Source organism: Homo sapiens, chromosome 5 (assembly GCF_000001405.40).
Source record: "Homo sapiens chromosome 5, GRCh38.p14 Primary Assembly".
Lineage (NCBI taxonomy): Eukaryota > Metazoa > Chordata > Mammalia > Primates > Hominidae > Homo > Homo sapiens.
The window spans coordinates 108134407-108151615 of NC_000005.10; the positions used below are offsets into that span (position 1 = coordinate 108134407).

At 36.5% G+C, this 17209-nt stretch overlaps 1 protein-coding gene across 5 annotated transcripts in view, besides 1 other annotated feature; it reads right to left on the reverse strand.

Annotated features, from left to right (window-relative positions):
• The window catches only part of FBXL17 (F-box and leucine rich repeat protein 17), a 523064-nt gene that overhangs the window by 275372 nt on the left and 230483 nt on the right, over window positions 1-17209 (reverse strand). The gene's annotated exons all lie outside the window — the stretch shown is intronic.
• Window positions 14462-14756: a silencer, noted in NCBI's record as "tiled region #7585; HepG2 Repressive non-DNase unmatched - State 13:Ctcf". NCBI's record gives its function as "represses a minimal TATA promoter and a strong SV40 promoter by Sharpr-MPRA in HepG2 cells {active_cell/tissue: HepG2}" and the evidence as "EXISTENCE:reporter gene assay evidence [ECO:0000049][PMID:27701403]".

Consider the following 17209-nt stretch of genomic DNA (forward strand, 5'->3'; position numbering starts at 1 on the left):
TTCTTAAACCGGGGACATAGTTGTATTTCTAACCATAAGTTTTTAAATAACAGATAGATATAATTTCAGAAAAAGACACATAAAAATCCAACAAATTTTTCCCCCAAAACCTCGTATCTGAACTGCAGCAACTCTTTCTGGGATAATAACAGAGTTCTCTTTCCAAAATGGGCCCAGCTCAGTGTACCAAAGGAAAGAAAAACAGTTGTATCAGGAGAGATACCACAGAGGACTAACAGTGTGACAAGAGTAAATATTGGAAGAAATTTTCCATGAAGTAGAACATTTGAAAACCATATGTATGTGTAGTATGTGTACTATATTGATGTATCCGCTGGTTTCCAATCCTAATTCCAACATCCTCCAGGCTCCTGAATTCCCCACAGGTTGGCAGCTTCTTCTGCAGAAATCCTCAGATGAAGATGCTTTGTCCCCCACTTACAAATTAAGTCTTTCCTGCATTTGCTTTTCTTTCTCTTCCTTATTGACAAAAACAGCTGCTATGGAATTTGTAGTGTTTAATAAATTTGTATTTTAATGATGACATCTTCTAAATATATTTTTGTCATTATATGTTTAAATAAAAAGTATTGCTGTTATCCCTTATGTTCCAAAGAAATCTGATCAGAAACTCACAGCCTCAAAAAGGGTAGCAATATATGTAGTGGTAGCGTCAGAATTTCTTTGAAGAAGGGATCTGGGGACATCAATCAGGTGGAAGGAAGAGTACCAATGGATATCATCTTACTGCTGTGCTGACACAGCTGGCCCATAGCTTTTATAAGTCATCTGTTTACTTAGCATAGATTTGGAGAAAAAAAGCTGGTGGTAGTTCTGAGAGGGGCTAAGACCCACAAAACACTCCTTATAACAGCTCCTTCATATTTAAAGGGGAAAACTTTCAATACGAACTAGGAGTGAAGGTGGGAACAAGGGGAATATTTACTCCCAAGTGCTGTTTCTGTTCCTGGTAATTTCACCCTTACATGTAAAAGGGTAAGAATTATGCAAGCATCTGGATCCTGATGAGAAACCACCTTAACTAATATCCTTGGGAATGAAACCACGTTTATAATAGATTCAGTACTCCACTAACATCTTAAAGTACACTTATCTGTAGTGAAGTGAACAAATCTAGATTTTTGTGTCTATCTTGCTTCATAATTCCTTACACTCCTAAAAATTTCTTACTGAGTAAACAACAAAGAACTTAGGCTACACATGGAATTTTGGAAAATCCAGAGAAAAGGCAGGGGAAAAAAGGTCTTTGTTCTAAAAGGTGACATGTGCATTTGGCATTCCTTTTCTTCTTAATTTTCGATTTAGGGCTTATGGAGTTCAGAAGCAGAAGGATAAGATGGTTATTTCCTCTCCAATCAATCACTCTAAACTTTATAATAAGTTGGACATATCTGATCTCCCATAAAATGAAATTCTTTAGGTGAATTATTTTGGGAAGCATCAGAATGGAGGCAAAGAAGTAAGTTCTAAAATATTCATCTCTTCCTCACACTATCCAGACGTCAAGGCCTCCAACATAGTTTTTTATGGGCCATGGCAAGTATAAGGGGTATTTCAATCATCAATGAATGAGCAACAATGGTTGCTGTTTCAAAATAGGAGGAAAAAAGTTGAATTATTTTGGGGGAGAAACAACATAAGATGACTTTTGAAGAAAACATTTTTTGTCATCTGAAAATATGAATATGTATATAAGTATGCTGTTTATATGTAAAAGAAAAATATGCAGATAGGTCAAATCTTTTAGATTTGGAGATGGGAAGACCTTAAACCTTCTTTTTGTATTTATGAGCCTAACTCTTTAAGTAATTCAAATTACTACTGGTTAATGTTCCTTGAATCACTCATTTATCCTGAAAAACTTTCCTTTATTCTCACAAAAAAGGAAAATGGCAAACATACTTTAGCTTGGTAAATGTGAAAAAATTAGGTATTCAAATAAAAGATCCAAAACCAACAAGTCACAATGATAGCAAGTTTCTGTAATACATTTCTGGGTACGCTACAACACCAAGTTTAAACAATGATTTTTCTTGCTCCAAAGTGGGTTGTGGATGTAAGAACTAGTTTTTCTTGCTCAGTCAAGCAATATGAAGCAAAGGACTACAGTCAAAGAAATAGCTGAATAGCTTCTGCAGCCAATCCATACAAACACACAGTGTGGTACTTAGTGGGACCCTCCTTACACCAAAAAAGATACATACTAATACATAAAACTGATTCTTCAGAAAAAAGTTCATAATTATATTAAATTTGCACTGTGGATAAAGCCCAACTGCAAAAACTTAGAGAGCTTGGTAATCCCAGAAATTTCTGTGAGTGGCTATTATAAGGAATGTGGTCTAAACTCGACAGGAAACCTCGTATTTCTGTTAGTATGAAAAATTGCTTTGATCATTCCACATTTTCTTAAGATAGAAAAAAGGAAGATTTGATGAATCCAGAATATTATTGATGTTATTTTGAAACCAGATTTTAACTTATTAATTACTTCAAAACTATAACTTAAAATTGTATATTTAAAGAAAAGGTAACATTAATTTCAAATTCCAAGAAACTCATTTTGATGATTAGATAACATCATCCAATCTTTCAAAGGGTAATAACATTTAAAAATTAGACTTATCAGAAATGCTATATTAACTTATAGTATTATCAAAGTTGCCATAACTTAATTCTCTATGAACTAAATATGTCTCTTTTAAGATGATAATCATAATGTTAATCACAAAACATGGAAAAATCTTGAAATGTCTTTGGCATTTTTAAGAAGGATAATTACATTCAGTGTAATCTCTTGTAAGTATACATTATTTCATTCTGACTCTATGGAAATTGGTTATTTGCACATAATACATAGCAGGTGCTGGCAAGCCAAGGCTGTATTTTTTGTAGGAGGAGGTAAGAGGATCAGCCACTGCTTTCTCTCATACGTTATTTGGAAGAGCCTCCTCCCTGATCTCTGCCTCTACGTCATGGCATGTTGCTCCTTATCTCCCCAACACCCACCTTCACAGAATCAGATACATCAGCCAAAAACACTGTGTTTTTGAATGTTGGCATGATCACCTATTAGTAATCATGCATGAGAATAAAGTGGCATGCCACTTTTGGAAAAGCTGCCATAGATGATAACTGCACACTGATGAGATTATTTCATTATTCTGGAGCTTATCAGTGTCCAGCAATTACCTGCTTCAGAAAATGTACTGTACTTGTGAATTATATATTTCAAGAGAAAGTCATGAAATCAATTTGATAAGATACTCCTGGACAGGTATCTTAGTAGCACCCTTCTTCCTCAAAATAAATGATCTAACAGGACCACCTACACATTTATTTCATACAATGTTTCTTGAACAAAATGAAACCTCAAATGTTGGGATAAAGAGAAGCATTACATGTAATTTTAGGTCCAGTACGAACTGGATGAGTTGCTAAGAAATACATTATCTATGCCTAGACTATCGATAATCTGGGCACAACACTTCCAAGATAAATACTCAAGAGCTATTAAAACTATTTGTAGCTGTATACTACTTGGATTTTAAGTTACCTTGTTTTAGTTTTCTAGAATTTTTTGTCTATTTTTGTAACTTCCTAAGAAAGTTCTCAGGACCAGGACTTTATAAATGCAAAGATAACTTAAAGATTCTAAATCAAAAGGACAAGATTGTTGGTAGGATAATGTGTTATTCAGTAATTTGTCTAAAGTTATTTTTAAAACATACCCTAGCTAATTGGAGATATCTTACAAACAAAAGTAAAACAAGGTCAACCAAGAAAATACATTTCAGACTACAAATGTCAAGATTACTAATATTTATAGAAACTCTTTACTTCTCCCCATTTTCTCCTTCTCTCACACATCTGGCCAATTTTTCATTGGCTTCACTCTAAATTTGCATTATCCATAGAATTTAAGCATGGAGAATTTAAAACTCTCTCTCTTTTTGCTTATCAATAACGTTGGTAAAAGATTTTGTGTGGGCTTTTGGATTGTGTGTAGATATCATACGTTTTTTTCTTTCCTATTCCAATGCCTAGTACAATTGGGCCTGATATTATTCAAGAGATAAACATCTCCTCTTCAATTGGTCAAAGGTTAAAAAGGTAAACCAGAAGATATTGCCGGTGGGAAGAGGGGACAAAGATAAATTACAGGTAGTCATAAAGAAAGTTTAATTTTTCCCCTCACTTACACATAGCCTTTATTTTGAAGAAGTAATGCATCATTCATGAAGTTAACATTTACTTACTACTGATTTAGTGTGCAATTGGCACTAGGCAACAGGGAGACATTGGAAATACAAAGATGAGTAAGACTCAGTCCCCACTCTCATGGAATCCAAAATTGTATAAAAAGAACCATGAAATTCTGTGGTAAGTGCAATATGGACAAAATATGAAAAAGAGGCATAAAGAGGAGATCAAGTTGCCTATCTAAGAGGGAAAATAAAAGCTTGTGACAAATTTTACGGAGAGAGCCACATAAGAACTAAACTTGGGTAAGAATTGCCTCAGATTTAGTAACTCATTGAGAATGAGCATTCATCTCCCTGCAAGATAATCATTTATCAGGAGTAATCTTGTATTCATATGTGGCCAACTGAGAAATCTTTAATACTCAGATGAAATGATCTAACTGAAATAAGAATATTTATGCACAAAGTAGGCACTGGAAGAATTAAGATCATGCCATATTTAGTATGTGTGTGTTTGCACGCTCACCATAGGGGAAAGGGGGACCACTGGGGAAAGGGCAAGGCATGGAGGTAGTGATTACAGTGTTTAAGTAACGGAGGATATTCCTGGATAGGAAACATTACATAGAAAACAAGTTGTGTCCATTTAGCACCTGAGATACAGCATTCGCTAATTTTAGAAATCACAAAATAATTCAGTCTATTGTCATATACAAATCTGAATTTATGAAATTTGATAGGTGTCTTATACCATCTTGGATTCACAGCACCTCCAGTTTCAGTTTCAATCAGCATTTTTTGAGTTCTCATAAGTGGACTGCTGACTTCTGCTGGAGGAAATACAACAATCATGTGGACCGATGCCACTACAAATTTATAGTTTCCAAGCTCTCAAAACCACTCAGCAATTCTACATTCTGCTCGTCAGCTCCCTCTGCCACTTCTAATAGCAGCTCTTCCAAATTTTAGCTCCTGTCCCAAGGGCCCTACCCAATTGCTTCTCTGGCTCAGGTTTTTATCTCACAATTTGATTGGCTTCAAAGAATAATGAGAGGATCTCAAGCCTGCATTCTCTCAGCTTCTAACACTCCACAAACTCTTGGAAATGTTTAATCACCATCCATCTTCTTTCTTAGAGCTAGAAGGCATCTACTCCCCGCCTCCTTCAGGTTAATTCCTTCTGATATTACCTTATTCTTAACTACTTACTTACTAGTGATTCAGTGTGCAATTTGCATGCCTTCTGAATTCTTCCTGAACTTCTTCCATGAATTTCTCCTTCCTCTCACTTACATCTCTCTCTTATCTCCTTTGGCTCAGCCCCTAAACACGTTTAAGTTTCTCCCACTTTGAAAGACTAAACAAAGTGAAACTCCTCAGTGTATTATAATCTGGGTTTAGTCCCCCACCCTATCATTTTTTGTTTGTTTGTTTGAGACAGGGTACTCTGTCACCCAGGCTGCAGTGCAGTAGAGTCATCTCAGCTCACTGCAACCTCTGCCTCCTGGGCTCAAGCAATCCTCCTGCCTCATCCTGCCAAGTAGTTGGGACTATAGGCACATGTCACCACATCAAGCTAATTTTTCTGTTTTCTGTACAGATGGGGTCTCACTATGTTGCCCAGGCTGGCCTCCAACTCCTGGGGTCAAGTGACCCACCTGCCTCGGCCTCTCAAAATGTGGGATTACAGGTGTGAGCCACTGCGCCTGGCAACCCACCATGTCTTTTGCTAAGAAAAGAGTCTTCTTTTGCAAGATCCTCCTAATGCTAAATGCAAACTGCTTCCCATAGTCCTTAACCTTCACAACTCTCTGAAGGACCTGGCAAGCTCTTGCTTGAAATTTTCTCTTCCTTTGGCCTCAGGTGACAACTTTGCCTATTTTTCAAATGATTCATCCTCTTCATTTTCTCTAGGGTTTCTGCTTCCTCTGCCTACCGCTTACAAATGACATTTATTGGGGTTACATGTGGGCCCTCATGCCATAGCAATCCTGAGAATATATCCACACCCAAGGCTGTAACAGTCACCTATAGATTGACATATCCTGAATGCCTGGCTCAGATTTCTCTCCCAGGTTCTACTCCGTACATTCAATAGCAAGGTAGATATAAACTCAAGGATATCCCCCAAAATTCGAGATGATTGCTTATTCATTGAATGGTACCACCCAATTACACAAACAAGAAACTTCAGCCATTCTTTTTTTTTTTTACTCCCCACATCAAATCATTAATTCTATCTCCTTCTAATTTTGAATTATTTTCCCTTAATACTTTCTCCCTATCCCTGCCTTCAAACTAGGTATTGTCATCCCTTGGCTGGAACACCTGAATTGTCTCCCTCCATTAACTTTCTTACATCTTGATATTAAACTTCTCCTATTTGTCCTAACATGGAAATGTGATGATATCATTCCCCTATTCAGAGTTTCCTTCACGGTGGCCCCTGTCTACCTTGCCTGCTTCTTGCATGCATTATACTCCAGTAACAATGAGATATTTCTATTGCTCCACACATGGTGTTCCTTCTACAGCCTGGTTTTGTCTGCCCAGGATGGATTATCTACCTGGAAGAACAGATCATCTGCCTGGCAAAATTCTACTTGCATTCAAGTCTCAGGTCCGGTGTTTTTCCCTTCTTAGTGAAACCATCTTTGGATCCCCTCCCTTGACCCACCAACCCCAACACACACACAGACCCAGAAGTTTCACACATTCCTTTTCCTATTGTCAAAATGACTGCTATTGACTACAGACCTTTCCACACTATATACTTATTTGCTAACATGCTATCCCTGCTGTTCTCTGAGCAGGGCAGAGGCCAGGTTTTCTTTGCTTTGTAACCCCAGAGTCTCAAACCATACCTAAGCCATTGTAGGACCTAAACAATATCTTTTTCAATGAAAAGAAGGACATCAGTCCTTTCTCTTTCCCATCACTCTTCTACACATCTACAGGAGTTCTATTTCTAAAAACAGATCTGGGCAGGTTACTTGCCTAATTAATCTGAAGGCAATGCGGAGCCTCTGGAGAAATTTTCAAACACCTCAAGATGGCATCCTAATCTCTGTAAGACCCACCTGAACCTGTTTGCTTCAGTCACTTTCTAACACTCATCCTCCTGTCAGATTCTAGCAATCAGACTATACGTTGTTCTGTGCCCCAGGCCTGCACTGCTCTCCTCCAGTGTCCACATGGGAAAGTCCCCCTTATCCTTCAAGCTTCAGTGTAAACCTCACACCTCTGTGAATCATTTCTGACCTCACTACTCCCACCCCAAGTTGAGTTGATTGACTTGCTCTCTGATATACTTCCAGCAGAGCTCAATACGTTTGACTCACTCTCTGTGTTTTAATTATTGGTTTAAAAATGTGTTTCTCCTACTAGAATGTCAGCTCCTTCAGAATGGAGGTTGTTACATTTATCTTTAAATCCCTGGCACTTAAAAGCATATGTTTTCACATACTAGCAGAATAAGAAGATAAGCATATATAAACAAAAAACACAAACACATTCTAACTCACTTTGATTGGCATTAATTTGTCTACACTTAAAATATTCTCTCTCTATTCCTATCATTTTGCACTGGTACTTCAGAAACTATAAGAGGCTCCACTCAAATTATAATTATTTTGAATTCAGTGTTTTGCTTCTTCTGTAATCTTTTTTGCAAATAGTAATTTTTTTCAAAGACTGTTTTGGTACTTTTTTCTCCATCTACTTTTAGCAAAAAGAGATTCTTAAAAGGTGTTTAATGAGCTAAATCTGTACAGACCCAAAATAATAGAGTAAATGGTAAATCAGTTGGACTTGAATTTCTAGATGCTCCTTACTATTTATTTTCTTAAATCAACTCAAAGCAGCAGTGCTCTGGCATTCACAAGAGCACCTCTGCCCAAAAATGTTGTTTATAAACAAATATCAATTTGCTAACTGATTTTTTCGCCTAGAGCCTACATAAATAATATTAATTAGTAATACTTATCATTGCATTTGAAAACCAATTGGGAATAAGGAAAACCGTAGGGGAAGAAATGTTGATGAGAAGTTAGACAGATTTCTTTTAAACTGTAAAAAAGTCCTTACACAAGGAGTCCCCAACATATTAGGAACCAGGCTACTCAGCAGGAGGTAAGCAGTGGGCAACCAAGTATTATGACCTGAGCTAAGCCTCCCGTCAGATCAGCAGCAGCAGCAGGGGCATAAGATTCTTACAGTGGACGGATAGCATTAGGATGAATACCTAATGTAGATGACGGGTTGATGGGTGCAGCAAACCACCATGGCATGTTTATACCTATGTAACAAACCTGCACGTTCTGCACATGTACCCCAGAACATAAAGTATAATAATAATAATAATAATAATAAAAGATTCTCACAGGAGCATGAACCCTGTTATGAACTGCTCAAGTGAGGGATCTAGGTTGCATGCCCCTTATAAGAACTTAACACCTGATGATCTAAGGTGAAACGGTTCCATTCTGAAACCAACCGCTCCCCGACCCCGAGTCCACGGAAGAACTGTCTTCCACAAAACCAGTCCCTGGTGCCAAAAAGGTTGGGGACCACTGCCTTACATGATGAATTTCAATGCTTAAAGGAGAAAATATAACATTACAGATCCCACCATGCAAAATTATTCAGATACTAAACACATTCTTCAATAAATGAACATAGACAATTAACAAGTTTTACCAGAAGAACAGCATTCTCACACACACACACACACACACACACACATATACAAATAACATGCTATTAATGTATTTATTCATCTGCTGTAGTATTTTATAAAGAACATGAAGTGTAACCCAAGGTATCTCTTCATGACCAGATTTTCTACAACAGATGTTTGGTCACAATGGAACACTCAGTCTTCTGATTCTACCTTGCTCTCTTCTCTCTTCTGCTTTACCAACATCTGCAGCTAAAATTCCCCCACCTTCTTTTATGCATATGAATATTTAAGTATATTTTGAAGCCCAGATAGCTCCAAGAAAGTCACATCCAATAAACCTTCCTTGAGCCCCTTAGCTGAGGTAAAGGTGCTTCTATATTCTTCATACTTGTGAACTTGCTTGTTTTCATGGGAAAAAAAAAAAAAAAAAAAAAAAAGGACCCAAGACTGCATTCTTAGACTGATACTCATCCTGTCTGTGGATGTGTCTGCAATTTGGCTCCATGTAAATTTGAGAAAAGACTCCATTTTGGCAAGGAAAACACAACTCACATTCTTTAATTTCTTAGTCTATGTCCCAGTAAGCTGGTAGAGATTTTGATTTAAAAAACAAAACAAAACTCAAAAAACTTAACCTAATGGAAAAAACTTATAACTGAAAAATTATAGAGAGCTATCATAGCATCTCCTTATCTGCAGCTTTTAAAAAATACAATAGCAACTCACATTTATATGATGATGGCAGAACAAAGGAAGGGTGATATCCCTGGAAACTTTGGTTCCATAATTCTTTGGTATTTCTAACACACTTAGACCAACTTAAAAAGAATCTTAACTTAAAAAGAGGTTTTCTATTTGAACCATTTCTCAAACCAAGGAGAAGACTGTTTCCTTCCAGGTCACATTCTAATGCTCTCAAGGAGTTAATACTCATGCTATTAGGGAAAGTGATTCTTAAAAGTTGCTGAAAAAACCAATTCTATATGAACCCAAAATGATATGATAAACGGTAAATTATTTGGGCCGAATTTAGGTATTCTCATGGACCAAAATAAATACACTGGAATTATTTCTAACATGAAAAAGCCCTCATTTAATCATGTGTCAACTGGAGAAAGCAATTTCCCACAGCTAAAAATATTTAAAAATCTGATATAAAAACAAAATTATATTAAAATGCCATAATACATGGATTTGGCTACTTGCCAAGGGTAGAAACCGACTTCTGCAGATTTTTCTTTCAAAGATATACCACGTGTTCCAACATTTGTAATCATTTGATAGTCAACTGCTGTAGGCAAAAAACTGTACCTAGTAATTCTCTACTGTCGATATTTTAAACTATTTCATAAACATTCCTCATACAGTATGTCTAATAGATTTTGCATACTTTTTCTTATCAGAAACTTCTTTAACACATATAATCTACTGAAATTCTCCAACTAAATTAAATCATAATAGGAATGAAACTGACAAAATCTTTTAGTTGGCCTATTTTACCTGGAGGAACCAGTAAAATAGAGCTCATGACTCTGAATCTCCATATAAATTGAAAATAAACACGTTTAATATTCAAGTAATTTAGTTAGACTTACAGACTGATAATTTTGCTAACTTTTCTATATTTAAAAATGCAAATGTGATAGAGAAGCATAATAACATTTTAAACACATTGTTTTAGGATTATGCATTTTCAATCAAAACCTGCTAGAACCAAGAAAAAATGGCATTAAGTAGAGAAAGCAGTTGCTTCACTATCAGTTTCACAAAAATTTTTAAGATAATAGTAAATTAGGATCAAATTTTCCATATACTTTGATATACTCTAGTTTATAACACTTGCCAATGATGGATTGAGGAATATAATTTAGATTAAAAAAGCATACATGAAGTTTACTGGTCAGATAATTTTCTACTTCTGTCATTACAAGTAAGGAAGTACTTGTAGGAAAAATACATCAGAAATAAAACAATGAACTTAATAAAAGTAAATGAGTAGAGATCACATGGTAACAAGCAGAACTGTATTCCCTGAACACAAGAGCATCACAGATTTCTTCTCTCTCAGAACTGCTAGAATCAGACAGAACTCTAAAGTTCATAAAATCCAACACCAGATAGGTAAAGACATCTTCCATTTTATCTCCCCACTAAACCAGCTTACTTAATAATTTCCCTCATTAAGCAATACTAACTAGCCAATTTCCTTCCTTCTCCCACTTACTTTCATTTACTAACGCAGAAATGTTAAGAAGTGTCTTACAATGTTTACTATGGGGAAGTCAGGGATATGAAACAGGTTACATTTTTAGTCCCAGTTCTACAAATAAAGAAAATGACTTATCAGATAGTGAGAATTATTCTAAACAACAGTGAGGTCAGTTTTGAAGAGTTATTTGAAATCAGAACTTTAAGTGGCTAGGTCAGTTCCCAAAGGACATTTTTAAAGGGCAGCAAAGGAACCATTTTTCTTACAAAATATAGCACTAAATTTTCGGTTGCCTAAACAATAATAATAATAATAATAATAATAATAATTCATTACAATGTAGAGATAATCAGTACCGACACTGAGAGAGAAATGCACAAGACGGCAGTGATCATAAGATATTAAGACTCATCAGGCCGGGTGCAGTGGCTCACGCCTTTAATCCCAGCACTTTGGGAGGCCGAGGCGGGCGGATCACGAGGTCAGGAGATCGAAACCATCCTGGCTAACACAGTGAAATCCTGTCTCTACTAAAAATCTCTACTAAAAATACAAAAAAATTAGCTGGGCGTGATAGCGGGCACCTGCAGTCCCAGCTACTCGGGAGGCTGATGCAGGAGAATGGCGTGAATCCGAGAGGCAGAGCTTGCAGTGAGCCGAGATGGCACCACTGCACTCCAGCCTGGGCGACATAGCAAGACTTCGTCTCAAAAAAAAAAAAAGACTCATCACCAAAACTGAACCAGGATCTTAGAATGTATATTAATTTTCACCACTTTGGTACAAAAAAAAAAAATGAAGCACAAATCCCCATATTCGAACGAGGATTAATTTGATTCATGGGCTCCATGGTAATTCTAGTGGTACTTTCTCTTTCACTATCACTATAGCAGGATATACTAACAGGGGTTTCACACTCCCAGCTCAGTTCTTGGAATGCCATATCCTCTTCCCCCAGTCAAAATGGCCACGAAAGTCTACCTCACAACCTCAGAGAAGTGATCCTGAGAAAATAAGAATCAAATCTTTCTTTGAGTTTTATAAACCCTACCCAGTCTTTTGAGTTATAACAAACAGGCTTTTAAGCATTAAGGACTAAAGCTATATAACTTATGCCATCACCCAAAGATCTAGAAGACTCCTGGAGAGTCAGTCATTTCTCACATGTCAAAAACTATCTAAACTATCTCCACACAGAGGAGGAGAGAAACATTCAGAGAAGCTGTATCCTGGGGGTGGGGACACTCAAATCACAGGCTAGGGACCCCCCAGACAGGTTTCAGCAAAAAGGGATCGTGAAACCTTATCTAGCACAGCCAGAAGAGCAGTGTCTTAGTCTGTTCCTGCTGTTATAGCAAAATACCTTAGACTGGGTAATTCAAAAGAAATAGAAACTTATTTCTCACAGTTCTGGAGGCTGAGAAGTCCAAGATCAAGGAACTAGCAGATTCAACATCTGATGAAGGTTCTCTCTCTGCTTCATAGAAGGTGCCTTGCTGTTGCATCCTCACATGGTGGAAGGGGACAGGGGCATTCACTTCAACTTCTTTTAAAAGGGCACTCTGCCCTCATCACTTTAATCACTTCCCAAAAGTCTCTACCTCTTAATACTATTACAGTGGTTATTCAACTTCAACTTGTGACTTTTGGCAGGACAACAACATTCAGAACATAGCAAGCAGCAAGAACTCAGAGTTTTCCCAACATCCAGCATAAACTCGAAGCAGAAAAAATAAAAGTTGAGGCAACAACGTCTTTCTCTGTCTCTCCTTTGCTATCTCCTCTCTCCCCACTCTTACAGTCAATGGAAACTACTGTGTTTAGATGAAATTGGCATAATACAATTTGGATGACCTTTCATCAAAAGTGTAAAACATGGGCCAGGCACGGTGGCTCATGCCTGTAGTCCCAGCACTTTGGGAGGCAGAGATGGTGAGAGGATTGCTTGAGGTCAGGAGTTCTAGACCAGCCTGGGCAACACAATGAGATCCTGTCTGAAATAAAAAAATAAAATGACGGATAGGTTACAAGATATTAAGTAGAATATATGTAGAGGGAAATAACACATATGTAATTGGAATTCCAGAAGAACACATCAGCATATGAGAAAGTAAAAATTTACAGAGATACTGGCTAAGAATGTTGACAAATGATGAACACCAATCCTCAAATTTAAGGAGCTCAATTAAAAGCATAATAAATAAAAATTAAACATCTCAATGTCTCATTACAAATCTGCATGATACCAAAGATAGAGAAGAGATATTAAAACCTGCCAGAAAATAAAGGCTGATCACCTATGAAAGAATGTTAATTAGATTTATAACAACCTCTTAATAGCAAGAAAGAGTACCAGGAAACAGTAAAATCGTATCCTCAATGAGCTGAAAAAAAAAACTCATAATGTAGAATTTAATATTCAGCCAAACTATCTTCCCAAACAATAAAAAACAATAATATAGGCAAAGGAAAAAAACTGAAAAAAGCCTCTCATTAAAGAAAATTCTAAAGAACACAATGGAGAAGGAAGGAAAATTATCTCAGATGGAAGGACAGAGATGCAAGCAAAAACACTTGTATATATACGGGTAGCTGTAAACATCGATTGTATAAAACAATTATTTCTGATAGGGAAGGGAGAAAAGAAGTAAGTCTGACAAAAGAGTACATATTGATTACCTATATATTTTGTTAAATGTGTATATTAAAATAGTGAGTGTAATCATTAAAATATCAGATAATAAGAGTACATAACTGCTAAACAAAGAAAAAAATAAGTGCCAGGGAATCCTGATATTCCACTGACACTTTCCACTGAGATGATCCAAATAAGGCTAGTGCTCCACTTTAACCAATCAAATATTTCTTTTGCCTTGCTTCTGCATTTGCCTTGTAAAAATCTTCCCCTCGTGTCCCTTTAGCGGAGCCCCAAACCATCTATGGTCTGGAGCTGCCTGGTTCATGAATCACTGTCTGTCCAAATAAACCCTCTAAGTTTTTAATGTGCCTCAGTTTATCTTTTATCAAACAAAAGAAGCAAGTCATAGAGGAATACACACAGTATGATTACATCTATATAAAGAAACAAAAATAGGCAAAACGTAATTATATAGAATTACACAGGTGACAAAATCTATGCTAAAATGTGCCAACCTAAGAGTATAGTGAGGAAGACTCTGAAAAATTGAATATCCACATCCAAAGATTACAGATTAATATCTCAGGGTGGTCTCACAGGACACATCAGGCCAAGTGATTTCATCCTCTACAGTAGCATATGTAATTCTGATGGCTGCCACTAAGTGGCAGTTCATGCTACAGGTTCTGGAAAAAACAAAGAATGCTGAACTATATAAAAGTATGTCACAACAATATCACTAATACTATCATGTTTATAATCTCTTAAATGTTAACTACATGTCAGTCCTGTGTTATGTAAAACATTATGAGTCCTCATGACTCAAGCAAAACAGAGGCCCCTTGCTTTGCTAACAATAAATGCAAGACAAGTTATTTTGTCAAGGTTACAAAGCACATGGCAAATGACAGGTTCTAATTATATGACTCCAAAGCCTGTTCTCTTTCCACCACTGTTTTGTGAAATGTACACAGTGTCTCTTGTAGGATGACAATGATTTATAGACATATATGTTATAATTCAACAATATAAATTCCTTGAGGGTGGGCTCTATATCAGATTTATCTTTCTTGTATCCTTCAAAGTAAACATTCAATTTTTAAAAAGCCTTAATTATGTAAGGAGAAAAATCTTTTAATTTTTTATTTAATTTTCAAAACTACAATTTATCATTACATACATTTAGAGAAATTATCTGTCATTTGAAGAATATCTTAGCTACAAATTCTTTCCTTCAAAGATAGTTTCTGACTGCTCAGTTTCTCATTACTCTCATTTCTCATTATCCCCTAAGTAGATCTCACATTTAAGCTTCCTCAGTCTCACTTTGAAGTGTGTTACACATGTGTTAAGCATGAGAGAGCTAGGCTCTAGTCTTGGCTTCTTTTATTTTAACTACCCTTGACACATGAGTCTCTTTGGACAGTCTGTACAGTGGCTTCAGTTGGGCATTATGAAGCCTCTTCTGCTATCTTAACCACCTTACATTACATACCAATCTTGGTACTCTTAGTAAGTCATATTCAGTTCTTCTCATTATTAAGTTAATTATCCATTAATTTACTGTGAACGGAAAAAAATAGCCCTAACTTTAAGATAGTCCATGTTCTCTCTCTGTGTTTTCTTACATCCCATATGGCTTATGTTTTTAAAATATTCCTTTTTACCTTGATTATTTTTCTGCTCCTAAATCCAATGCATAAGAGAGCAAAAGCTGACAGCAGAGAATTCTTGAGAGACTTCTGTTTCTAGGCCCCTTAACTTTCCACCTTATATGTGGTTAAAAACCTAATGTTTGTTAGAAAATTTTCAAACATACTAAAAAAAGAAAGAGTAGAATGTACACCCATGAATGTTTCACTCAGATTTATCAATTGCTAACATTTCACCACATTTGCTTCATTGCTCTCTCTCATCATACATTTTTCTTTGCAAAACCATTTGAAAGTAAATTTCAAACATCATAACATGTTACCCCTAAGTATTCAGCATGCATCTCCTAAGTACTAGGACAGTCTCCTATTAAATCACATTATCATTATCATACCCAAGAAATTTAACTTTGATACAATCTTTTTTTTTCTCAGATACAGTCTATCTCTACTTGTCCCAATCATACTGCAGCTTCAATCTCTCAGGTCCAAGTGATCCTCCCACCTCAGCCACCCCAGTAGCTAGGACCACAGGCACATGCCACCACACTTGGCTAACTTTTTTACTTTTTGCAGAGATAGGGTCTCCCTACGGTGCCCAGGCTGATCTCAAACTCCTGAGCTCAAGTAATCCTCTGGCTTCCACCTCCCAAAGTGCTGGGATTATAGGCATGAGCCACCATGCCTGGCCCCCAATCATGTTCTTAACAGATTTCTTTCAATCCAAGATGCAACAAGGGATCATGCAATGCATTTAATTGTCATTCTCCTTTAATTTTTGCTCTTGTGTTTCATCACAATGACAATTTTGAAGAATCTGTATCAGTTGTCTTGTGGGACATCCATAATCTTGATTTGTCTGATTGCTTCCTTGTGATTAAATTCAGATTAAACATTTTTTGGCAAGAATACTGTAAGAGGTGCTGTACTTCCCACAGGATCACAGGATCACATATGAAGGCACATAATAACGATTTTCCGCATTATTGGTGGTGATATCTGATCAACTGATTAAGCTGCTATCTGCTGGATTTCTCTATTGTAAAGGTACCTTTGCCCTACATAATTAATAATTAGTGAGCTAATATTTTGAGACTACAAAATTATCTTTTCCACAGCTTTCCACACGGTCATTTTATCAAGATGAATCTGACAACCTTAGTTTTGTGTGGGTCTCTTATTCCTTTTGGTTGTTACATTAACCAGTCTGTCCTTCTCAGAATGCTTACTTAAGTAATGGAACCATAGGTTCTTTCGTGAGGCCTATAGTTTTAGCATAACAGTCTGCTGAAGTACTCAGTATAAAGAGTCTCTTTTTTTCCCTAAATCTTTAGAACTTTATCTGAATTAGAGCTTCAAATACAGTATTTTCCAAAATACTTGCTTCACGGCTCCTATATAGGACAAACTCTGATATATCTGCTTGCCTTACATTCCATAAAAAGAAAGAAAGAAAAAAGTCATCCAAATACAAGCAGAACTAAACTAAACCCATCACATTTGAGCCTATCAGACTCATTGGTTAATAAGAAAATTCTCTTTGCTTCACAAAATTACAGGACAATCTGTCAATCAAACTCCTAACTTGTCCCAAAAAAGAGTTTTACAAGGTTGTCTGTCACATCTCCAGTGTTCTGTATTTGCTGTGGATCTTACTTTATCAGCTCTAATGAAGCAAACTACACAGAAAGGTGAGATAAGGTTTCTATCAAAATCTTAATTCCCAAATCGGAAGTCAAGAGGGCAATTCAAGGCAGAGCACAGCCATCTGTAGACACCCAAAAGAAACTTTACTAAAGCAGA